Source organism: Homo sapiens, chromosome 2 (genome assembly GCF_000001405.40).
Source record: "Homo sapiens chromosome 2, GRCh38.p14 Primary Assembly".
Taxonomy (NCBI): Eukaryota; Metazoa; Chordata; class Mammalia; order Primates; family Hominidae; genus Homo; species Homo sapiens.
The window spans coordinates 237,049,878-237,075,403 of NC_000002.12; the positions used below are offsets into that span (position 1 = coordinate 237,049,878).

General features: G+C 44.9%; 3 long non-coding RNA genes across 10 annotated transcripts in view, besides 3 other annotated features; 1 reads left to right on the forward strand and 2 right to left on the reverse strand.

Annotated features, from left to right (window-relative positions):
• The window catches only part of LOC93463 (uncharacterized), a 7,569-nt gene extending 1,279 nt beyond the window's left edge, over positions 1 to 6,290 (reverse strand). The window contains exons 1-6 of the long non-coding RNA NR_135202.1: positions 6,170 to 6,290; positions 5,512 to 5,849; positions 5,123 to 5,244; positions 4,470 to 4,614; positions 1,066 to 1,433; positions 1 to 303 (exon numbers count right to left, since the gene is read on the reverse strand). The exon at positions 1 to 303 is cut by the window's left edge and continues 466 nt beyond it. This is a non-coding gene — a long non-coding RNA (uncharacterized LOC93463). The remainder of the gene's footprint in view (positions 304 to 1,065; positions 1,434 to 4,469; positions 4,615 to 5,122; positions 5,245 to 5,511; positions 5,850 to 6,169) is intronic.
• Positions 1 to 16,939, forward strand: part of LOC105373950 (uncharacterized) — a 30,143-nt gene extending 13,204 nt beyond the window's left edge. Inside the window, exons 1-3 of the long non-coding RNA XR_007088140.1 lie at positions 1 to 14,911; positions 15,580 to 15,659; positions 16,512 to 16,939. The exon at positions 1 to 14,911 is cut by the window's left edge and continues 13,204 nt beyond it. This is a non-coding gene — a long non-coding RNA (uncharacterized LOC105373950). The remainder of the gene's footprint in view (positions 14,912 to 15,579; positions 15,660 to 16,511) is intronic.
• The window catches only part of COPS8-DT (COPS8 divergent transcript), a 175,051-nt gene that overhangs the window by 139,107 nt on the left and 10,418 nt on the right, over positions 1 to 25,526 (reverse strand). The gene's annotated exons all lie outside the window — the stretch shown is intronic.
• Positions 6,729 to 7,228: an enhancer, noted in NCBI's record as "H3K4me1 hESC enhancer chr2:237965249-237965748 (GRCh37/hg19 assembly coordinates)". NCBI's record gives its function as "activates a minimal SCP1, AML or CMV promoter by ChIP-STARR-seq in primed H9 embryonic stem cells {active_cell/tissue: H9 hESC(primed)}" and the evidence as "EXISTENCE:reporter gene assay evidence [ECO:0000049][PMID:30033119]".
• Positions 9,504 to 9,613: an enhancer, noted in NCBI's record as "active region_17363". NCBI's record gives its function as "activates an Ori minimal core promoter by ATAC-STARR-seq in GM12878 lymphoblastoid cells {active_cell/tissue: GM12878}" and the evidence as "EXISTENCE:reporter gene assay evidence [ECO:0000049][PMID:35858748]".
• Positions 11,151 to 11,200: an enhancer, noted in NCBI's record as "active region_17364". NCBI's record gives its function as "activates an Ori minimal core promoter by ATAC-STARR-seq in GM12878 lymphoblastoid cells {active_cell/tissue: GM12878}" and the evidence as "EXISTENCE:reporter gene assay evidence [ECO:0000049][PMID:35858748]".

Consider the following 25,526-nt stretch of genomic DNA (forward strand, 5'->3'; position numbering starts at 1 on the left):
TTCTGTCCTGTGAGCTCCTGCCTCTGGGATTTCTCTATACTCTCAGTTGTGTCTCTCCAACTCAGGGACTCCACTGAGCTCTGCCTGGGTTCCCCCTTCTCTGAACAGGAGCCTGGAAACACTATCAAGGAAGACAGACTGAGCAATTGGAGGCCTCATTATTGTTCATTTGCTATCTCAGAGGGTTCACTGCCCTTCATTGTTTGATGTCCAGTGACTTGAAAACATTATATCACATATTTTGTCTGTGTTTTGATTGTTTCAGGGTAGAAGGTAAATAAAATCCCCATCACTTCATTTTGTCTGGAAAAGCAAGTGCATTTGATAGAATATTGCAGCTTTCATAAGTGAACTAGATTAATAATTAGGATTATATGCAGTAACACAGACCTTGACATTAAATATTGAGTAAAAATAATCCAATTTGAAGAAAAGTGTATTCTGTCTGAAACTGTTTACATAATTTCAAAACATGCAAAGGTATCCTGTATACCAGTTTTATACAGAGAAACATAAACATATGTATGAGAAACACCTAAGCCAATGTAAGGGAGATGATGCATCAGGAAAGAGAAAATTGGAGGAGAGGACTAGGGAATAATAAAATGGGGTTTGAACTTTATCTATAATGTCTTATTTAAAATAAAAACATCAAACAAACATGTAAAAATGTTAGTATATTAGCATTACTTAGAGCTAATGGTTGACTAAAAGAATACTCACTATATATTTTTATGTCTCCCAATTATTTCTTAATTTAAAATATCTGTTATTTAGGTTATTAGCAGCTTCTACTGTGGAGAATAGATATTGAATTTGCCTTTCAGGCTCACCGCCCTGCTCACCATCCTTGCTCATATTTGCATAATTAAACAGTTCACAGAGGTGTCTTCCTCGGGAAAAAGAAAACCCTCTTCTAAGAAGGAAATATCCAATAATATAATTCTAAGGAGTTAAATTGTTGTGGGTGGTTATTGGAGATTTTTTTTTAAATGTAGGCAGAGTTCTAAATTCTCATCTGCAAAATAGAAAAATCTGTTTTGATAAATACTCATTTAGACTGACCTGTGCATATCTATTATTGCTCATTCTTGTGTTTTCAGGGAAATTAGTGGTGTGTGTGTGTGTGTGTGTGTGTGTGTGTACATGTGCACATTTTCTTGTTCAAGGATAACAGGAATAGAGAACCTCAAAGACTCAGGAGGATTTGTAGGCTCCACTCTCAGGGTGATATAAGAAGGAATTGAATTCCCTTGCTGTCCATTCTGTAATATTATTTAATATTAATTCACGAACATCCCAGTGCATGAATTGATGTTAGGGCTATTGCATGATTATCGTGGGGGGCTAGTCTACACCCCTGTGAGAAGTGTCATGTTTCTCTTGATGAGAGTGAGTAGTCCCAGTGTCACATGTGACAGGAAGAGGACAATCTAGGGAGAAAAAGTAAGGAATTGCATAACTTTTTTGTAGGAGCTTTTGCCAGTCTGGTTTGGACTCAGAGGTAAACAGATGTTTTGAAAATTCACCAATGGAGTCCACAGGCTCCTGCCATGCGGAACAGGGAGAGGAAGCCTTCAGCAGGCGGGCTCTGAAGGTAACATATGCATTTCTTGTAATATTTTCCCCTTCCATTAACTCACAAATTTCCATACAATTTTAAAACTACAGGCTGATCATTGCTATACTTTGGAGAATTAAGGGCAAGTGCATTCCACAGTCAAAGCAGGCCATGGAGGACACTGTGCACCCACGGCAGATCCCAGCTGGGCCCTGTAGAGCCATGTCCTCGGGAAAGTCACTGAGGCAGAGGCAGCAGAATGGCATGACCAGGAGACTCGACAGATGATCACAGAGCCCACTCCTGAACACACAGGGCAGCTGTCTCCGATACTTGTCAATGTTACTTGGAAATAATTTGAGAAGGGCTTTTTTTGACAATTAAATTATTAGGGATCTCTCAGGACATTAACATCTCATTATTAACTGAAAATGTGGTTTCATTTTATAGTCATGGATTGATGAGGAGCAGATATGTGGATGCCCCTCTCTGGGAAGGAACAGGAGTCCAAGACTGAACGTTAGCCCAGCTCATTGCGCTGCAGCAGGACAGTGCAGCCTTTCTTGTTTCACACAAGCTGATCGGATGCACACTGCACGGTGAAAACAGAGCCAGATGGATTCGCTCCCATCCCAACTCTTCCTTTTCTCCTCAAGAACCGTGACTAAACTTTTCTGATGACAATATTGGACTGCAGGTGAGGGATGGTGTCATTGTTTCACAGGCTTGCATCTTAGATATTTACAAAGAAGGAACTTTTGGCACTTTAATACTAATAACACATTATTTGTGCATGGCCTACGACAGATCCGTCTTTACAGGCAAAGGCAGTTGAGGAGAAAACAAGAGAGGAAATAGGCAAAGACAGTGTTTGACAGGCTGAAGGAAGAAGGATGAGGGGGCTCTGAGAACTGGAGAAATAAACAGCAAAGCCATTTTCAATCAAGGGCTATTCAGGGAAATAGCAGCCAAACTATGTATTTCAAATAGATGAAATCTAATACAGGAAATTGCTTAAAAAGGTACTGGGCAAGTGGAATCTCTAAACAGGGGATAGCAGACAATGCGAAGACTAGCAAAGTGGGCAGCTGCTGCCACCATCTCAGTGCTGGGCATGTACAGGGAGGAGCATCCTGGCAGCACCCGGGGATCCAGACCACCCAGTGGAAACTGCAACAGAGGCAGGAAAATTCAGACAGAGTCAGAGCCATGGAGATACTCAGCTGTGGCTGGGGACTCCACAAGAAGAACAGAGAGGAGATGCAGCCTGGCTCTTCCTGGCCTCTGGCCCACCAGTCTCAACCAAATTCATTCCAGGATCTGAAGGGCAAGGGAGCTGAGAGGGGGCATCTCATGTGATGGTGATCAGAGTAGGGAAGGGCAGGGATCAATTCGAAGAGGGAGGTTGCCAGATCAAACACAAATGCCCAGTTACATTTGAATATCCGATAAACAATGAAAAAATTTTAGCATAACTATGCTTCATGCGATATTTGGTACTCAGTTATACAAATATTTATTCATTGTTTATCTGAAATTCAAATCGACCTGAGCACCCTGTGTGTTTATTTAAAAATCTGAGTGCAAACGGAGATAGCTGGCACCTATGACAATAAATGCTGAAGGGGCCCCAGGATTCTCCCCGGCCCAGAGGGTTACACCCATGAAGGAAAGGGAATTTTGCAAAAGACTAAAGGTTCATTGCAGGAAAAAAATGAAAATTAGGGGAGAGAGATGGCTGAGGAGTTAACAGATCAAAGTCTTCAAAATACCTTACAGGAAAGATCAAGGACAAAAGGATTCCCACGGATGCTGGAAAAGGAAGCCTGGGGCTAGGGGATGGGATTGTGGGTTTGCACTCAAGGATCCTGATAATGAGTCATGTCACTGATTGAAGCCTGAAACCAATTAGAGTCAAAATTATGCTTGGCCTCAAAATTAAAAATATAAGGCATGATTTTTGAAGGATGAGAAAGCACAAGCTTTTATTGGGGTCTCTCATCACCTTGCTGTGCTGTGGTGGGAATTGGCACATAAAACAGGAAGGAATTGGAGAAAAAACCATCCACCCTCTGGATCCCAGGAGATTCTCAGGAGTTTGGATGAGTGACGAGTGCTGTCATCTGCTCTCGGGGAAGGACATTGTGGGGAGATAGTTGCTAACCTGGGGGTATTGGATTATCAATGGAACTGCTGGCATGTGGGGCTTTCTTAGGGCATATCATACCCTCCTTAAACACACACACACATACACACACTGGAGGCAGAAAAGGTAACTTGGAAATGACTCACACTGTCTGCCCAACCTGAGCAGATAGTATACCTCTCACTAGGGAGCAGTTGTAGCACCTCAGTTCTCAACCCTCTCTCTACCATCAATAACCAACACCTTAAAGCAAAGAGGGCCTTGAACACACTTATAACAGTTATTGAGGACTGATTCATTTTGACAGCAACTGAGGCAGGACCGGTGGAAAAACTGTTGTATCAGTATTCAGGAGTGAACTATTTCTGCATGAAAGAGGTACTTCTAGTACCTCTTGGTTTTCCGTTACAAACGCATACATGTTGAATGAACAAGAGCAGGCATGGTTAACTCCAAGAGAGTTATCTGCTCTGCCAGAAAGCTTTCTTGTCTACCCCAATTTTCATATAAAAATTCAAATTGTGCAAGAAGTTTAATGACCCGAAAGCAATATGGGCAAGTTACCCACAGCATCAGAGGTCAAAAATGGTTGCTGCCCTCAGAGGTCATGCAATCTAAAGTGAGACAGGTCTTCAGTAAAGTGAGTTAGGAGCTGATGGAGCAGTGAGTGGGAAAGCTGAGCTTGTCGTAGGACCTATGCAATTTAAGGTAGCAGTTCTGGGACAAAGAACTTTAGGAATTGAACCTCCCAGATTTGGATACCTCTTTCTAACTCCAAACTCTCTTGGGGAAACAACTCCACAGGCTGACAGTTCTGCAAGGCGTCTTCCTGACACTTCCTGTTTGTTGGTATCATATTCAAGTGCTGCTGCTGCTGCTGCTGCTGCTGCTGCTGTTACTTTACAATCTTTGGAAACAAAATACATGTAGATTCTGAATCCACATGCTCAATGTGGCAGCCACTAACCACCCGTGACTACTGAGTATTTAAAGTGTGACTAGTGCAACTGAGAAACTAAATTTTTAATTTTTATTTTACTTTAATTGTAAATTAAAACTGGGACTTGATTCAGTTATTGGAAAACTTTGAAGTATCTTTGGAGACACTTAGGTGTGTGAATCTGAGTTTTTAACTGCAAAGCTTATGAAATTTAAATACAGATCAAGTAGTTCTGATGAAAATTTAGCATCTGCCTTGAGATGTAAAATAAGTAGAAAATACACACTAAAGATTTGGTACGAAAACTATAAAAGATCATTAATAAGCTCATCATGTAATTGGTAACATGACAAAATGATAACATTTTGGATATATTGGGTTAAATAAGTTATAGTATTTAAATACATTTTGCCTGTTTTATATTTTCTGTTTTGAATACAGCTAATGGAAAACTCAAAGTTACTATGTGACTTACATTACATTTCTGTTGGACGGAACTCTTCTGAATTCCCATATCTTCATATGCTCTGTATCTCTATGAGCTTAAATGTATAGAGGCCCTGCTCTCTACCTCAGCCTTCTTCCCCCGTAATCTCCCTAGAACAGTCGGGTACAAGTCGGCTGAGAAAAAAGTGAGGCTAGAGATGGGGGTGGTGCGTGCAATCACAGTGGGGATATGAGGTGGATGAAGGGACGTGTTTTCTCAGCTAAACTTTTGTTCCCTTCACTCTCTCATTCCCGGTAGGAAGATCTTCAGTAACAAAGAGTAAAGAAAGGGAGACTTAGCAGGCAGGATGCAGCCTCATCATTATGAGAGAGCCATTGTGCGCATGAGAAATGTTTCGTTCACCCCAAGCGACTCACCTTGAAGACCCTGAAGGGCTAGAACATTTGCTTGACTTCTAGATCATTCCCCTGATGGTCCCAGGGGCGAATGGTCCCCTTCTCTGTGCTCTGTGAGAACCTCTGGCCCCCAATGGAAGGGAGCCTGGGAGCAATCCATGTATGAGAAACTCTGGAAGGAATGTGGGGACCAGAGAGAAGAGGTAGGAGGACAGGACACAAGGGACACCCAGGCGGTGGCCTGGTTCCGGCTGCATGTGGCGGGCTGGATGAGACACGTATCTCAATGGTGTGCACCGTCTTCCAGCCTCTGTGTACGTCTGCGATTGTGCCTGTCTAGAAGCTAAGTTATTCTCTTCCTGTTGATGGATACAGTAAGTACAGCTCAGTGCTTTCATTAATGTTCTATAACTCTGACCCCTAAAATAGGAATTGAATTGACATTTTCCCCAGTTTTAGCCAAAAGACAGCTGTCCAGCAATATGAGGTAATGCTTTAGAATAAACTTGGCTGGGCGTTCCTAGCTTGGTTTATACAGTTTGATTCTCATGGCTTTTTGTGGAGGCCAACCCATTGCCAATGTCCACTTTCACTTTTCCAGTAATAATGAAAGTGCCTGGAATATGTAAAGTGCACAAAAGACTGTCAAAATGAGACCAGGCCTCTAAGTAAGCCATACCATATCCATCCCATTAAGCTGCAAAATCATGAAGTGGGAAAACTGGTTCTTCTTATATAAGCCTGGGAGCACAGCAACTGTTGGAATGGCATGGAATGAGGTGCACATGGCCAGCCAAGGCTTGCTTCTGCCAGACATTTTCCCCCTATGGTCAGAAAAGACAGGGGCCAAAAACCTTAGAGATGAATAATCCATTTTTTTAAAAATCCAGATCACTGGCAGGGAGATTACGTTATAGCCCCAAAGAGTAGTTAACAGATTAGGGTCTTTGCGTATAGAACCTCACGGAGTCATGTAACAGGACGGGAATGCATTCACTGGAGTTACATTCCAATGGGTCTGCTTAATACCTAGGTGTTGTGTGGTGTTGTGGGTCCTTGGACATGGCTTAATTAACAGTGCTGGCAGTGGGGACGCCACATGCATCTGTGCTCAGCCTGGAGTACAACCTGGGAGAACCTGCCCAGCGTGTTTTCTGGCGCTGGGCAGCCTGCAGAGGGAGGGGGCTATTGGAGATTTGACAAGCAGAAGGGGATTGCTGCAAACCATGCTGGGGGCAGCACTGGTTGACCCCCGAGGTGGATAACATGAAGCCCAGCTCAGCCCCTACCCAGAGGGGCCAGCAAGGGCTGTGAACTCAGGCTGGCATATCCTGCCTCCCGGCACTCTCAACCCCATCCCTGGGAGATGTCAATTCCGGGGGCACTCAGTTCTGACTAGAGGACGAGCAGAGGGACAATAAGACCCCAGTCCCCAGTGGCTGGAGGCTCCCTCATAAACTTCATTGCAGCAGAGGCAGCAGCGTACAGAAGGAGCACAGACTCTCCACTCCCCCAGCGGTGCCGACCTGCAACCCCACAGATGAGAGGCAGGCACCTTGACATACTAGGAGAGCCAGACGCATGCGATGGTGCTCTTAAAATCTCTTGAAGGTACAAAACGACATGTGATCTTTTTGTAAGAAAATAGTAAAAAACAAAAATCATCTGTAATCCCATCACACAGAGAGAACCACTGGTAAGAAGTTTTATGAAACATGACATTTTACTTTGTATTTACTGCTTTTCACCCGTTATTTTCATTTCAGAACATTATTCTATGCCATCGGGTATTTTTCAATATTACCTATTTAATAGAGGTATAGTGCTCATTTTCAGATATGCATAAATCCATCTCTCTATTGTTTGAGTTTGAAGCAGACTTCATATTAAATATATGCGTGTGTGTATATATGCATGTATATATGTATTTATCTTGATGTCAGCAGATTTCGTTGCTGAAAAGAATTCATTTTATATTATTTCCCATGATTTCTCTCTCCCATTGCATATGACTTTCCAAATGGTTGTTGATATGATTTGCCTCGTGTCCCTTCCCAAATCTCATGTTGAATTGTAATCCCCAGTGTCAGGGAGGACCTGGGGGAGATGACTGGATCATGGAGGCAGAGTTCTCATGAATGGTTTACCACCATCTCCCCTTGGTACTGTATAGTGACAAGAGTTTTCACAAGATCTGGTTGTATAAAAGTGTGCAGGCTGGGAGCAGTGGCTCACACCTGTAATCCCAACACTTTGGGAGGCCGAGGTGGGTGGATCACTTGTGGTCAGGAGTTTGAAACCAGCCTAGCCAACATGATGAAACCCCATCTCTATTAAAAATAAAAGAATTAGCCGGGCTTAGTGGCACGTGCCTGTAATCCCAGCTACTCGGAAGGCTGAGGCAGGAGAATCGCTTGAATCCAGAAGGCAATGGTTGCAGTGAGGTGAGATCATGCCACTGCACTCCAGCCTGGGCGAAAGAGCAAGTCTTCTTTTCAAAAAAAAAAAAAAGTGTGGTACCTCCCCCCTCTCTCTTCCTCCTGCTCCTGCCAGGTGAAATGCCTGCTCCCTCATTGCCCCCACCATGAGTAAAAACTCCCACAGGTCACCCCAGAAGTAGATGTTGCCACGCTTCCTGTACAGCCTGTGGAACTGTGAGCCAATTCAACCTCTTTCCTTCATACATTACCCAGTCTCAGGTATTTTTTGTAACAGTGCGAGAATGGACTAATACGGTTGTGTGGCCATGTTTCCTCAGCTGTGGCTTGTTGACGGTTAAATATTTGCATGCAGCCACATTTCTCACAGGCTGCTCCCAGCCAGTGTCTGAGCAAGGCAGTGCAGGTCCACTCTGGGGAGAGGTTGGGCTGAGTCCTCTGGTTCAGGGTTGAGGATGCCCGGTGGCTTTGCAGAACTTTCCTGGGGCCACCTCCTCGCAGCCATCCCTCCTCTTTCCTTCACTGGGGTCAGACTCACACCACAGTCTGAAGGCTATTCCAGTTGCACCCAGCTTCCCCCCGCATTTCTCTTAGGCATTTTCCCTGATGAAATGCTTGCCTATTTGATCCATTTCTTTGCACCGCTCTTAGGGGACCTGGCGTAAATCTACCCGATTCTTACTCCTCGCCAGATCTCCCCTGCAGGTGGCTGTTCTGCAGGAGGGGTCTTGCCTTGCCTCCTCCGCTGTCATGGCTTCAGAGCGCTGGGAGCTGTCACTGCATGGAACACATCCCAGTTCCCAGGCTGCCCGAATATGAGGGCGCCTCCCTTCTTCATCTGCATGGTGACTCCTGGGGCCGCATTCCTGGGGTCCTCGGCAGCCCCTCCTTCCTGCTTCCGTGAGGTGTAGAAGATGGGGAAGTGAGTGGGCTGAGAGCAAAGAAAGGTGATTGATAGAAATGAGAAGAAAGTCTTTCTGCTCAACTCACAGAAGCATCCAAGGAATGGAGCATGGGCGCTGCCGAGTTCCCCTGGAGCTCAGGCACAGGTGTCTCCGTCAGGGGATGGGAGAAAAGTTAAAAACACAAACAAGAACAAAACCTTGTGTAGAGAGTCTCTGTGCTGGGACACAAACTGAGGCCCTCCGCATTTCACACTGAGGCCACTCATGGCATCAGGTCCTTTTGCTCCTCTCAGGCTTCCCTTCTTCCCAGTTTCTGCCTTAGGGAAAGGCCGTCATCTGTTTTCCTCTTGCATTATTTTCACCTTTATCTGTGGAAAGTTGCAAAGACTGCACAGGGGGCCTTCTCCAGATGACATGTGAAGCAACAGCCGTAGGAAACTCTAAATCCACCTGAAATTTGAGTTTCTGCTGAGGGTTAATATTTTAAATGGAACCCATGAGCCCACTATAAAGCGAAGCCCAGCTCAGTGGTGAAGGAGCGTCTACAGGAGTCATGAGGCACAGCATTTTCTAGTTCCTGACTAAAAACAGAAATGAAACCTTTTCTCTGCAGATTTTGTCAAGGTGTTCTGCAGGCAGTTGCACTTTCGACCCTCCTCATTTGCCCATTAGCAAATGGAAAAATTATAATAATGTGAACTATTTTTGTTTTGTTTTTTAAATGTTGAATGATGTGGCAGTGTAGCTAAAATCCTGCATTTGGAGGCCAGAACTGTAAGCCATTTTTGAAAGGAAGACAGTTCTCGACAATAAGCATCTTGATCTTGAAACCCTTGAGGAGCAGGGACAGAGCAGAGAGTACAGGTGAGAGCGAGAACAAGAGCAGCAAAAGAAAATGAGCAAACCATACTGGAAAAGCAACCCTTGGCCAGCCCCACTGGCTCTGAGCCACGTGCTAGGTGGGGTCAGGGGAGAAGCTCTGGGCCCTGCCAACTGTGTTCTGGCCTCAGCCCCAAGCTGTCCCTGAGGGCTGCACCCCAGAATCCGAGGATGTGAGGAGTATGGTTCTGAGCCCTGCTCTGGTGAGGAAGGGACTGGCAGACTCTCAGATCATGCCGAGGCTGCTCTCATTTGCTGTTTCATGCATGTGTGTTTTGTGTGCATGTTGAAAGGAGCAAACTGCGTGTCGCCTATGAAACATGGGTTTGGTTCTTCAGAAGAAATCCTTTTGGAGTTCTCACAAAGCTCCAAGTTATCCAGGAAGCCCCAAGGACCAAACACGCATTGTGGTTGGGACTGTGATGCCCAGATGGGCCAGTCCTGGAAATGGAGCTCATGGAAGGTGGCGTCGCGATGGCCGGTAGAGCAGGAAGGATGCGGGGCAGGGCCCCCTTGAATCAGCCTGGCTGGGAGAGGTGGGTAGGATTCAGTGAGGGTATCTCAGACTGCACTGAAATTAACATTTTATTTACACACATTCACACATATACAATACACCAAGAGACATAAGAAGGAAAAAACTATGATAAGTTGCTGCTTATGTGAGTTTCCACATGGATACAAAACACTCTTGTATGCAAAGTTAACAAGGTCTGGGCTCCTTCCCAGCACACCTCTGCCCCCGTCCCCCGGGCTTCACCTCACGGCAATGCGCTGGGCAGGGTGAGTCCCATATCGCTCTCAACAGCTGAAGGGGAGCTGCTTGTCTTGGCAGGACCTTGAGAGTTAATGACACATGTAATGGTGTGTGGGGAAAGTGAGAGACGATGGAGGATTGTGTGGTACAAAAAAGCAAAAATATGTGTTATAGAAATAGAGTATTTGCATCAAACTGAAATCCTCCCTATCCTGAGAATTTCAGGAAGAGGACAAAATCACAGGGTCACATCCTGAAGGACACCCTGCCCGGCTCTGACTTTACCCCTCTCAGTGCCCTGGGGTGGGGGTATCGATCTAGAAAGCCACCTATCGCAGGGTGTGTGTATGTGTGTGTGTGTATTCATTAGTGCTTGCGGTCACTGTGAAGACACCAACTGTTCTGAACAAGACTTTCCAATAATGCAGGGCGAGATTGCCTGAAACAAACTAGAAAAACAACATAAAAGAAGAAAAGGGAAAGCATGCCCAGGAGAGCCTCAAATATCTTTTGTCCATATTGCTGTTTTCGAAAATCCGGGGTGAATAAAAAGCTGGCACTCTCCGGGTTTTGCCTGGTCCTGGAATTCTTTTGTAGTGAGCACCACCTTGTGGTCTGCCTTTTGCATTTCCCAAGAACACAATGTCAGGGTCCCCGTGCTTGCTGAAACCTGGTTATCACACTCGGGCTGGCCTCTCCTCCCAAGCCCATCCTGCCTTCTTCCCACCCTACCAGACCCTTCCCACTCGAGGGCTCAGACCCATCTCAGGCTTGCCCCAGTAGGCTCGTCCCACTTTCTGGAATTAAGACTGAACATTAAGTTGCTAGCCTGAGCCCAAGGCCCAGGTGTCCCATTACAGCTGATGTGCCACCCACACGGTCTGTCTGGGGCCACCCCCGGGGGACCATTGCCCTACACAGCGCCCACACACACAGTCCCTCCACATGCCCATTTTGCTCAAAATCTCTCTCTCCTCACTCCTACACCCCCCTTCAGCAACTTGCTGGGATTTTTTCGGCGTAACGTAGTGGGTCTGGGCAATCCCCAGAACAGGAACCCTCCCAGCAGCCCACCACCCCTAGTCTATAATCACAGTCGACTTCAACCACAAACACCTGGAGCACGGAAAGCGCTGCCCCACCCACCAGGAAACTCCGCATCCCTCCACATGAGGACCCATCCTGCACCCGGGAGCAGTGGAGGCATCTCAGCCAAGGCAACTGCAGATGCTGGCATAGCTCCACATTGGACAAACAAAGGTGCCTCGTGAAGTGCCATGATAAGCCCTGCCAAGGTCTGAAGCAAACAGGTACAGCCGGGGTGTCATCCCAGAATAAACCACAGTCAGAGACAAGATGGGGAGATGGAGGAAGGAACCGGAACAAAGTGGCTCCATGCACCGGGTATAGGCAGGCACCTGGGCTCATGGTGTTTAATTCATTCTCATAATAACTCTTTGGGAACTATTATTTTTCCCATTGTACAGATGAGGATACCAAGGCTCACAGAGGTTGAAAATGTGCTTGTTTATCTTGAATTTCCCTAACATGATCAGCTTGCTGTAGATATTCAAGTTCTACTAGCTTCTAACTCCTTCCATGTAAAGCAGCAGCGAAGCTGCCCTGCCAAGGCCCACAGTTAGATTTGTGCATCTCTGAGCATCTTTTCTTGAGCTCTCTTTGTTACCACCTGCTGGTCACAGAGCTGAGGAGGGCTGCACCCCCTTCCACCATGGCTGCAGATGCCCTCTGGGAGAACACTCGGGGCAGACTCCTGAGGACCCCATGGTGTTGAGCACCTGTCCTTGCTGTGGCCAGGCTGCGCTCCGTACCAAGGTAGGCAAAACGCCCTGTCACCCACTGGGCATCATACCTGGGAACCTGGGCACACCCAAAAACTGCTGCATCATGCTCTGCCCAAAGCCCTGTCACCACAGGGCTCAGGCTATGGGGCCACTTTGAGGCAGGCACAGCTTTCCTCTGTACCCCAGTGTGAATCTTTGATTGCTGTAACTAATTGCCATAAACGTTGTGGATTAAAACAGCCTAAGTTTGTGATCTGTTCTGCAGGTCGGTAGTTCAGTACAGATCTCTTTGGACTAAAATCTAAGTATTGGCAAGTTGCATCCATTCCTGGAGCTCTGGGGAAGGCCCGTCCCTGCTCTGCTAGGTTGCTGGCTGAACTTAGTTCCCTGGGTTCCCTGGGATTACAGACGTGCACCACCATGTCCCACTAATTTTTGTACTTTTAGTAGAGACCTGGTTTCACCTTGTTGGTGAGGCTGGTCTCAAGCTCCTGGCCTCATGTGACCCACCCACCTCAGCCTCCCAAAGTGTTGGGATTACAGGCATGAGTCACCACGCCTGGCCTCCAATGGACTAGTTTTGAAGGAATCTCAGGATTTGCAACCTGCTGGAAGGAATTACTGGTGTCATTAGAGGCCTCCCTGAAACCCCACGCAATGACAGCATGGCACACGCTGACCCCGGCTGAGCTCACAATGGCAGTTGTTTTGGCTTGGCTTCTGTTTAGATGGGAAGCAGCTCCCCATGTCCCTTGGCTGAAGGTTTCTCCTAGAAGTTGACCAGGACCCCTGCAGGGGATGAACAAAAGCTGACACCTCATCACCCCAATTCACACACAGTTAAGCCCCACTGATCCTGGGATACAAGTAGATAAAGGGGGGAAAGGACTACTTTGTTTAACTTCCCAGTATCCTCTGATTGACTTAATGAAAAAATCCTGATGTTAAGCTCCCAGAAAAGGGTTTTCAGTGCTGAACTTGAGCTGGGCATACCACCTACATCCTGTGTTCTGTGTTCACAAACACAGAACACATTCGTGTCTCATCTGTGCCTCATTTGTCTTTCCCTGCCCTTACTTCCACGTGAGAGCAGCCACTTGTGATCCTGTCCATTTAAAACAATATGATCACAGGCCTGGGGCTCCAGATGCCGGACACAGAAAAGAAAAAGACGTGATAAATAACATTTAAAGCACTGCAAAGTTTGATTTTCATGTCTAATATCTGCCCCTGGAGATTCTGCTAAATTTCTTTTTTCCCTCTTCATAAATTCTTATGATAACAACTTTATTTGGGAATTAATCCAGATTCCCATTATTCACTGAATTACACTTTCCCAGCATGTAAGTTCCTCCCTCGTTGTAAGTTACAAAGCCTTGGAAGCTACATTAACTCTTTCTGGCTGCTGGGATGACAGGTATTGCTAGTCCTCATGTTTCAGAATTGTATCTGAAAAGCATTAATGTAGTTTTAAAGGGTTTCCAAATTAAAACCAGGATGAAAATTGACCACTGGGAGAATCCTATTTATACTATTATATTATGGGGTGCTTTAAATACACTTCCCTCCAGCCTACTGCCATTGGCTCTAATATATAGAACGGGCATGTATACAGAACGGGCATCCCTCTTGCAGTAGCATTGTGGAAGAATTAAGCACCCACACTCTGAGGTCAAACTGTCCTGGTTGAAATCTTGACTCCATCTCTCACTAGCTGTGTGACCTCAGGTAAGTTACCTAACCCCTCTGAGCCTTGGTTTCCTCATTTGTAAAGTGGAGAAAACAGCACTCACTTGATGGGGCTGCCATAAGGATGAAGTAATATGGTGCAAGAGGAGCTGAGACTGCTGCTTGGCAAACAGTGGACATTTGCTGAGAGCTTGCTGTGCACCAGGCACTGTTCTAACTACTTTACATGTATTAATTCATTGAACTCGCTCAACAACTTGGAGGTTGGACATCATTATCCCTACTGCAGGCAGTGACCACTCTACAAATGTTGGTTGCCATCCGCTGATCTTGACGCCTACGACGGATTCGCCTGGTAACTCCATCCACACTTAAGTTGGGAAAGCACTCCGCCCTGCCTCTAAGTCCGGGGACTCTGGGCAGGGTCCATTACATGACCTGGGTCTAAGCCAATCAGAGCATCTCACTACCGTCTCCACAGTGATTGGTCCACGTGGGCACATGACACTGCCGGGGCTGGGACTCCCCAAAAAGAGAGTCTCCCTTCTTCCTGCTGGACTAGCCTGAGACGATGCGAGGCTATCGCTGCCGCAGTACCGGGCGGAGGGCCTGTCTGAGAGGGAGCCAACCTCGAGGAAACTGGGTCAACAATGGACAACGAGACACCAGCTGTGTGACTTCACGTGAGCCCACGCAGGAAGCCTGCCTGCAGCCGGGACCCTATCTTGGCCCATAGCATCGGGGCTTCTCAGGGAAGCACTGGGGTGTAAGCTTCAGCCCCAAAATGCATCCCCACCCTTGTCCCCCTCCAGGCAGAGCAGAGACCACTGGGGCCTGCTTGCTGCTCGGTGGAGCCGATGTCTTCAAGGCCGGGCTAATGTCTCACCGGCCTCTCGGTTCCTTCCAGCTCCACTGACAGAAAGAAAGCAGATTAGATTACCGGGCGAGGTAATCCTAAGCTTTAGAGGTTCTTTTGAGGAACCTGCCACAAAGGCCAACCAGAATCCTTATTACACAAACCAGCAACTGACCTCCCTTTAGGAGAACAGGGCTCTATGATAGGAGCAATTACATTTAAATTCTGCAGTGAGATTGCTATTTAACAAAACAGCAAAATCATCAAAATCCTATAATTGTATGCATAATGCCACTTTGGCCTACTCACTTTCTGTAAAGAACTTTATTTTCCCATCCCATAATTAATATCAGTATCATATTCCATTGAAGACCATCTGTTTTACCAGAGCTATGTTATCAATCATCTCAAATTTCAGAACTTCACCCTGGTTTGTCCCCTTGATAGGGAAGTGAAAACATTGTATCAACAGTCATCTAAGCTGGCATGTGTGTGAGTGGGCCACAGGATTTGCTGGTGGATATCAGAAAAGTCATTTAACACAAAGTTCTGCTTATAGACTATTGCAAAATAAGTAGCTCCAAAAGGAAATTATTATGTTTGTAAAAACATGAGCACTTTCCTCTTCCTTTGGGCAAGGGTACGACGTTTTACTATCCACCCAAATTATGTTCACCAATGATTGAACTCTTCAAAGAATTCAAATCATGTGGATTTGAGCCTTCTGGGAAGGAAAACGAAATGCACCTTGACTTCACAGGCTGGAGGGCTGGGTGTGACAGGGCCCTCCAGAGAGCCTCGGGACAGAACCTCAGCAGATGGTGGCAGCTGAAGACACAGGTCAGTTCTCAGATTAACCAGACACCTCCCACCAGTCCATTCCTGCCTGTGGATGCCCTCCTGAGAACCAACTTCCAACCAGAAGGTCATTGTGGGTGGTACAGAGTGGGAATGAAGGACTTACATGATGTTTTTTGTTTTGTTTTGTTTTGTTTTGTTTTGAGATGGAGTCTTGCTCTGTCACCCAGGCTGGAGTGCAGTGGTGTGATCTCAGCTCACTGCAGCTTCCACCTCCTGGGTTCAAGCGATTCTCCTGCCTCAGCCTCCTAAGTAGCTGGGACTACAGGCACGCACCACCATGCCCAGCTAATTTTTGTATTTTTAGAAGAGACAGGGTTTCACCATGTTGGCCAGGATGGTCTCAGTCTCCTGACCTCATGATCCTCCCACCTTGGCCTCCCAAAGTGCTCGGATTATAGGCATGAGCCACCATGCCCTGCCAGGACTTACATGATCTTAAAGGCCCCCACCACATTCCTTACCCCTGGCCAGGAGAGTCAGGGGCTTTTCTGTCTTCCCTCAGGGTTACACTTGCCAAAGAGACCATTATTTCAATGTCCTTGACCATGATACCTCAAGACATTCTTGCATGAGTTGAGGCTCAGAAAACAGTACCCCAAAATATGGCACTTTGGTATGCTGAGGGTTTTTGAGTTAAAGGAAATTAAAAGGCCTCAAAAATAAGCTTTAGAACTAAGGTCTTTCTCCAGTCTCCTTTCAACCCCCTGTCTAGTCTATCTGATCCTCTTTCTTTCCTGAAGTACCAGCAAGGACTCTTTCTGCAATTTCTTTATCTAAGTTTTACCACTGCGCCTGGCTAGAGATGTAATTGTCTTAAGACACTCTTCCTAGGAATCTCATCAAATAACCAGGAAAGATTAACTACTGGAGAAGAGAAAAGACTGGGAATCATCACCATGCCAGACAGACTTTTCACCTATTCGTCTGAGGACAGCTCCAAGAGATGACCTGGGAGACTTTACCTGCATAAGAAGACAACCTTTGTTCACAGCGTAGTTCTGCCCCTCACCCTCCTGCCACCTGCCCCAGAACTCAGAGGAACTTTGTCCCAGGCTATTATCTATTCTTTGGGCTCACTCATTTTCCTTAGAAATCATTTACTACCCCTCTAAAATTTCCTACAGTCCCCCACTTCCCTGTCTCCTATGAAGAGGATATATAAGCCTCAACCATCTGGCCCTTCTTTGAGTCTCCTATTTGTAGGACTCCCATGGCCATATGCACCTTAATAAATGTGTAAGCCATTTTTCTCCTATGAATCTGTCTATTGTCAGTCACTTCAGTGAAACTTCAGAGAGGGTGGAAGGAATGCTTTCTCTCCACCCCTACAGATGCACTGGCCATATTCCATATCTTTCCTCATCTTTCATATAATATCTGAGAGAGAAGGTAGAAGTTGTCAGTCCTTTTAGAGACTAGTTTTCTTAAAGAACTGAATTCACTTCTATGTTCTACTGGGAAAAGTAAAATGCAAGGTCAGCTCAGGCTCTTGATGTGATTGGCTGCACGTGCATAGGGCACCATCTTTGGAGTCAATTTTTCACAGCTGATGATGATATTATTCACTCCTTTTTAAAGCTATATAGCACTCTATTGAGAGAGTGTGCCATAGTTCAGCCAATCTTCTATGTCTCAGTATTTAGGCTGTTTTCAATTACATATAATGCCTTAGTGAATACAATTGTGAATGCTATTTTGTAGAAGAGGTTTGTTGGGCCAAAGGATAAATGTATCTGTTACCTGAGACTGCCGTAACAGAGTGCCACAAGCTTTGTGGTTAAAAATAACAGAAACTTACTCTCTCACAGCTCTGGAGGCTAGAATTCCAAAATCAAGGAGTCAGCCAAGTTGTACTCTCCAGGAAGTTTACAGGGAAGAATCCTTCCTTGCCTGTTCCAGTTTCTGGTGTTGCCAGCAATCCCTGGCATTCCTTGGCTTGTAGACACATCACTCCATCCTCTGCCCCTATCATCATATGAACATCTCCCTGTGTGTCTGTGTCTGTTTTTCAATTCTTACAACACCAGTCATATTGGGCTTAATATCCACCCTAATTCAGTATGACCTCATCTTAACTTGATTACTTCTGCAAAGACCCTATAACTAAATGAGGTTACATTCACAGGTTCCAGGTGAGCATGAATTTGGGGGGAAACACTCTTCAACCTCTTACAGGAAAGGCATGCATATGGTGGTTATATGGTGTCAAGTTCCCCTTCATGGAATAGTACCATGTTGCTCTCCCCCAAGGATGAAAGGGAGCAGCTTTGTCCCCATAGCCACAGTAATGCAACTTGTGGTCAAGCTTTTGAATTTTTGCCAATCTGATGTGTGAAAACCAATATCTCAGTCTTTTATTTTATGTTATGGATAAAGATGAACATTTTTTCTTATGTATTCATTTGTACACTGGTGGGGGATAATCTGTTCATGTGTTTGCCCATCTTTCTTGTGGGTTTTTGGTCTATTTTCCTCAATTTTTTATATAGAATCTGTATGGGATTTTCTATTAATCTCTTTCTGTTGTTCATTTTTATGTGATGTTGTTTCCTTGATCATTTAGAAAGAATCATGGCTCACCAGCTTTTCTGACTCCACAGAGCTCCCTCTGCTGTGTATTTTTGTGGTGTGTTTTAAAAACATGCAGCTTGGCTTTAGAAATTTCCTGGCTGTTTCCTTCTTCCAGCCGTATCTGAACCTTCTCTTTCCTGTTTCTCAACTGCCCCTTTTCTTCAAACTGTTTATTCCACCCCTAGATGTTTCTTCTGGGCATGGGGCCCTGTCCTGGAAGAAAGCCCTTGTAAGTAATTTTGAGGGTCAACAGGGTCTAGACAGCTCTGGTCCCTTCAAACTTTAGCAGCGACAACTGCAATCATTGCTACTAAAGTTGGCAATGCCCCTCTCAGCTTCAGCGGCTGTGCTCAAATCATCTTTCTATGCTTTATGGTGAAAACCTTTTGGCTACCTTGGGGTTCTCCCCTTCTCAGTCCTGTTGCTTTCTTATGTTATTTCTTGCACAAACACACAAACTTACAAGTCTTCAGGCTGTTAATGGTTTATTCCCATCTGCTTATATTTTGATGTTCCTAAGAATGCCTTGTGACCTAGCTTTATTGTTTATGTCATCCATGGCTTTCTGATTCTCTATCTAGTTTTCTGTCTATTCTTATGGGGGAATTCAGAGAGTTTCAAAAACTATACTATCATCAGTATGGCAGTTCCTCACTTGTCTTTCCCCAATCTTTAAGAATTCTTTATTTATTAGTGCAATTAACCCAGTGTCTCTGATATACATTGCAGCTACTTTCCACTATGTTTTTAAAAACAGTAGCTGTGGCAATTTTTTTTGTATACATAGGTGCTATGGTTTGAATATTTGTCCTTTCCAAACTCATATTGAAACTTAATCCCTAATATGGCAGTATTGAGAAGTGGGACCTTTAAAAGATGATTAGGTCATTAAGGCTCTTCCTTCTCAAATAGATTGATCCATTCATGGATTAATGGGTAAATGGTGACTTTACAAGAAGAAGAGGGAAAATCTGAGCTAGCACACTCAGCCCCATCACTATGTGATGTCCTGCCCCAACTTGGGCCTCTGCAGAGAGTCCCCAACAGTAAGAAGGCCCTCACAAGATGCAGCCCCTTGACCTTTGACTTCTCAGCCTCCATAACTGTAAGAAATAAATTTCTTTTCTTTAAAAACTACCCAGTTTCAGGTATTCCATTATAGACAACAGAAAATGAACTAAGACAATAAATTTCTTTGCAATGTTTATATGTCCAATTTTGTTTGTTTTTTCTTTCTTGGCATCTCATCTGGATTTTGAGTCATAATGAAAAAGCTTTTCCCCATAGGTGAATTCACTCATGTTGCCTCCGAGTGCTTGTTTGATGTCATCTTTTACACTTACATTTCTAATTCATTTAGAGTTTATTGTGTATCATGTGAGATATGTTTATTTAATTTTCTCTGCGTCATTTATCAAAAATCCAATCACTTTTCCAGCACTTGAAATGTCATCTTTATCATACATTAAATTTCCATATGTACTTGAGTTATTTCTAGACTTTCTATTCTATTCCACTGATGTGTCTGTCTAGTCATGCACAAATACCGTAAGGTTTATTTTTAAAATACTTTCATTTTAAAACATTCATTATGAAATATTAAAAGATACACAAAAAAGTTCAAAGAGTAAGACAATGATGACCCATGTACCACAGCTGAAACCTTGGTAAACCAAAACTAAAATTCTAAGCCCCCCAACTGACTGAATTGAATCCCCATCTCAGCTAAGGGCATACCAAAGTAAATCTGAATAAATGGTTCAGGCCATAATGGGAAGGGGGGTTCAGACATGCCAAATTATATTCTCCTCCCTTTGGAATTCAGGCACAACTAGCCAGCATTAACATTAGAACAGGAATGTTAAGATGGACAAAACAGGGGCCGGGCATGGTGGCTCATACCTGTAATCCCAACACTTTGGGAGGCCAAGGCAGGTGGATCATGAGGTCAGGAGATCAAGAGCATCCTGGCTAACATGGTGAAACCCCATCTACTAAAAATACAAAAACAAAATTAGCTGGGCGTGATGGCAGGTGCCTGTAGTCCCAGCTACTTGGGAGGCTAAGGCAAGAGAATGGCATGAACCTGGGAGGCGGAGTTTGCAGTAAGCCGAGATTGTGCCACTGCACTCCAGCCTGGGCGACAGATCCAGACTCCATCTCAAAAAAAAAAAAAAAAAAAAAAAAGATGGACAAAACAGACTCTTTGTAGCAATAAGATAACCTGACTCTAATGTACCATCACATGACAGATAGCAGGCACTGAAAGAAATCAAAGCATTTTACCCCAAAATATATTCCTTTGACATATTTTTAATAGCCCTGGAAAGCTGTCTCATGTGGGGAAAACCTACACTCTATACAGAATCATCTCCCCTTTTCAGATCTTTTTCTGATCCAGGAGAGAATTAACTAAGAGTTTGCACCTTTTAAGGCCTAATAAGAGACATATACCATCTATTCTCCACAATAAGAACCTTGATCTCCACAGCTCCTTATCTTAACCTGGATACTGCTTTCTATTGATTCCAGGTCTTTAGATAATATAATAACCAATTGCCAATCAGAAAATCTTTTCATCTATCTATGACCTATAAGCACACCCCCACCGTGCTTTGAGTTGTCCCACCTTTCCAGACCAAACAAATGCATATCTTACCTGTATTGATCGATATCTTATGTTTTTCTAAAATGTATAAAACCCAACCACTTTGGGCCCATGTTCTCAGGACCTCCTGGGGCTGTGTCACAGGTCATGATTCCTCACATTTGGCTCAGAATGAATCGCTTCAAATATTTTACACAGTTTGACTCTTTTTCATCAGCAACATTTTGTGTACCCTTCCCCCAGAATATCGCAGAAATCCTGCTGGGGAAGGGTACAATGAATCCTACCAACAACCATATAAGTGATCTTGGAATGGGATCCTTCCCCAGTTGAGCCTTGAGATGAGACCACAGCCCCAGACAACACCTTAATCACAGCCTCATGAGTGACCCTGATAGAGAGAACACAACTAAGCTACACAAGGATTCCTGAGCCACAAAAAGCATGAGATAACCCATGTCTGTTGTATTAATCTGCTAAGTTTTGGGATTGATATGTAATCTTAATTGATAAAGAAATAGACTAGTAAATTCTAGAAAACCCCAAGAGAACTAAAGGAATTCCTCAAGGCAATATGGTTCACTCTAGTGTGAGGGCTGAGTGTATTTGCCGCTGTATCCCAGCACTTAGTGAAGTGTCTGGCACTCAGTAGGTGCTTAATAAGAAAATGGCTCCTGGAAAGAGAAGAACAGACCTGGGTGGGAATGAGTAGAACTTGGAATGGGGAAGTAGGCAGAGTGGATCCCAGTGTGGAGTCCATTTGAAATTGAAAGGGTTATCAGGAAGAACATGGATTCACAGTGTGGCCTCAGATATTCTGCTGTGACTGGGTATAAAGCCATTTCCAGGCTGTCTCTGGCACTGATCCCCAGGAGTTTGGACATAACTGGGGTGAACACTCATTGGTGCTGTGGGGCCTCCTCAATCTGTGCAGTGCTGCTGAGAACATGGGCTTTGGAGTCAGAGAGCCCTGAGTTTAAATCCCTGAGACTTGTGTGACCTTGGGTTAGTTATCTGACTTCTCTGAACCTCGGTTCTTCATTTGGTGTCATGAGTATTGCAGATGAATCAAATGAGGTAGCTTAATAAATGGTCATTCAAATCCAGCCGAATCCAGTTTAAAAAGCATCCTCAACTCTTATCAGACAGGTACCTCCCAGGACATGCAACAGCCTCAAGCTGGTTCCTGTCGGCCCCTCCTATGGCCATGGAAGTTTTCTATAGAGGCCAGGGACTCAGTACCCCTGGGGCTCACACACCCCTTTGAGAAGGCCATGAACGCTGTGTAAAGTTATGATGAACAAAAAGTCTATTTCCCCGGGAACCTGCAGTAGAAGCGCCTGGCGTTTCTGTAGGGACCGGACTGTGCTCCCTGCAGAACGCCCTTCCTAGCGCAAAGACCTAGCGGTGCCCAGAGGAAAGCCTTCCTGATACCTTCCCCTCCTACTCTCCCGGGAACTTCATCCAGTTTTTCCACGGATGCTTCGGGCTGATCACGACCTTTCTCCCAGCCTCACGGACAAGGACGAGGTCCACTCGGATTGGACAACCTGATTCAGGATGGAGCCAAGAAGGGGATGCAGCGCGAGGAAGCCTGTCAAGACTTAGACAAACATACAGCACCTGGAAAGGGACTCCCCGAAAGCACACTTAAAGGGACTGCCACTTAAAAAGTAATTTTTGGGGAAAGAAAAAATAAAGAGAGGAGGAAAAGTTAGGCCCAACCCAAGGCCTGTCCGCTTTCCCTCAGCCAGTGGGAAATTAAGGATCCTGCATGGTGCCACAGCGCCCCCTGGTGGGAAAGACTGAGATTGCACTGAAGATCTCCAGACATCCATGTCTGGCTTTACCCTCTCACCTCTACTTGGGAGGGAAGAACATTGGAAATTATTTCCCAAGACTGCATTCCCTCAAGTTAAGTATAATGCTTGATTTCCACTATCAAAGGTAAAAAAGACATGTCTTAAAACCCTGTGTGAATAAGGTCGTGGGACATCCCAACCTAGCATTCCTATAATTAACAAAAATCACCATTTATTTGCCCACGTCCTGAGCCAAGAATAATCTAACGCAATGCTTAAGACAGCCTTACCATGCAGCCTGTCTGTTAACCATAGTTTTACAGGTGCAGGCATAGACTCGGAGAGGGGCTATGGCCTTGCTCAAGGTCACGCGGTCAGTGCCAGGATTCTCAAGCCTGGGCTCTCAAACGCATCGCTATTAACTGCCTAGGAAAAACATGACCGTCTCTGCTTGGTTCCCTCAAAATACATGATTAATTCTTTTTGATTCCCAACATTGTTATGTTTCTTTTCTCACTGAATATTGACTTTCCATTAAGCAACTCCAAAGCCTAGTTTTTCTAAGAAAGTATAAGTCATCCCTTTGAGAAAGCTTACTGATCACATACTGTTTTCAAGGTGGCTGGGCTAGGCACTGTGGGAAAAGTCCACTGGCGGGAGGCTCCCAATAACCTAAGGTGACTTTGGTGACTCTGACATAAGGCTACGCTGAGATGCTCCAAGCTTTGAAATCAATGTGTGTCGCTAGTATAAGAACTGGATTAGGCTTGGGGGGTCACTGTGATACAGACGGGCTTGGGTGCAAAGTGTACTTGGAGTTGGAGAGCTCTGAGTAAGCAGAAGGCAGGAGAGGGGAGGGACGGGCAATGCTCAGGATTAGGGCCCCTGATCAAGCACACGGGACGTGGCAACCACAAGAAATCTGGGGCAAATAATTTGGTAGCAGCCTTCATTTTAGCACAGAAATGCCGACAAGTTTCTTCTTGCACGCCCACTCTGATCTTTTGGTAGAAGCAGGCTGAAGTTATTTGTTGGGAGGACTCTGAAGCCATGCCCAGGCTCCACGGGAAAGTCAGCTGTGATTGACTAGAAGAGAGCTGCCTGCACACAAGAAAACTATGCAAAAAGGCTGGGCGTGGAGGAAATGACCTAACACAACAGGAGAAAATCCGAGAGAACGAGATAAGAGTACTAGAGCCTGAACCCAGTGGGAATGGATAGGGTTCTGAGTGATTCTGTGGGCATGGAAGAATGTGGAAGATAGAAGTAATCAGCATAAACAAGTAGGAAGTATTGCAGGACAGAAAACAGATGTCTCAGGCAGACAGATGATACTGGGGAGGGCAACTATAAAGAGAGAAGGGGACTCCTTGGAGGTCAACATGGCTGTCCTGTCCCTGGCTCTCCTGGCCCGGCCCCTGAACTGAGATCCAGGAGAGCAAGTTATGAGGGGAGAGCAGCATCTGGACATGCTTTTGTCCTCTTTGTCAGAATTGCCATGGGAGCTGAAAGCATCTGCCCAGCTGATATGCTTTGGATCTGTCCCGCCAAATCTCATGTCTGATTGTAATCCCCAGTGTTGGAAGTGGGGCCTGGTGGGAGGTGGTTGGATCACAGGGGTGGATTTCTCATGAATGGTTTAGCACCATTGCCTTGGTGGTGTTCTCGCGATAGTGAGTGAGTTCTCCTGAGATCTGGGTGTTTAAAAGTGTGTGGCATCTCTTCACTCTCTCTTGCTCCTGCTCCCACCATGAGAGACACCTGTTCCCCCTTTGCCTTCTGCCATGATTGTAAGTTTCCTAAGGCTTCCCCAGAAGCCAAGCTGATGCCAGAATCATGCTTCCTCTACAGCCTGTGGAACTGTGAGCCAATTAAACCTCTTTTTTAAAATAAACCACCCAGTCTCAGGTATTTATAGCAGTGTGAGAACAGAATCATACAGGATCCCACTGCTTGAGTCATAGAAGGCAAAAGGAAAAGAGCAAGAGTGGATGGAAAACAAGGAAGGTAAAAGCAAGGTGAGATCCTGTGCTCAGGGAATAAAGTAAAGAAAAGTGAGCACACTTAGCATTCATTCAACAAACATTTATGCAACGCCTGCTATGTGCAGTCCTCATAATACAGCAAGCTTCATTGAGATCACAGAATTAAAATAAAACTAGAAATCAAAAGCATAATGACCTGTTCTATATTTCCACTCACGCCGTTAGCCACGACATATGTCCTGACTCAGGAAACAGCTAATGAGTGTGAGAGCGGCCTTCAATGATGTCATGTGCCTGGAAGCCACCCTGCTCTAGAAGCACCATCGCTCTGCTCTCAGGTCGCTGCCTGCCTGTGCTCTTCCTCCATGCTTTATTTATAACCCCTTTGCCTTTGCCTCTACCACTGCCATCATTTTTCACAGCTTTTCTTTATTCCTCCAAATTTCCCCTAACATGTATCTGCCCTTAGCTCCAGGGCCCTTCTGAAGTTTTGCAAAAATGTTCTCTTTTATTATTCACTTGCCAACACAAGCATTAGTAAAAAGGAGGAGAAAAAAAAGAAAGAAAAGTGCCCTATTTTTAAAGTTTGAAATGTTAAAGTTGTCTAAGATTAGAAGAACAAAATCTTCATTGATTTTATAATATTGTAAGGAGATACTTTTCACCCATAATCTAGCTCTTTAAGCTTATCGTAATGTTCATTTGCATGTTTCCTTTCAACATTTCCCCAAAAATCTAGTCTGGGTTATGATATATAATAACCAAGAGGTATACACAATATTATTTTTCATGTTTTTTCAAAGTTATTTCAGAAACACTACTTTTACATAGACTTCATATTTATGAATTTAATAGCTATTGTACTTTATGCTGCTGTCCC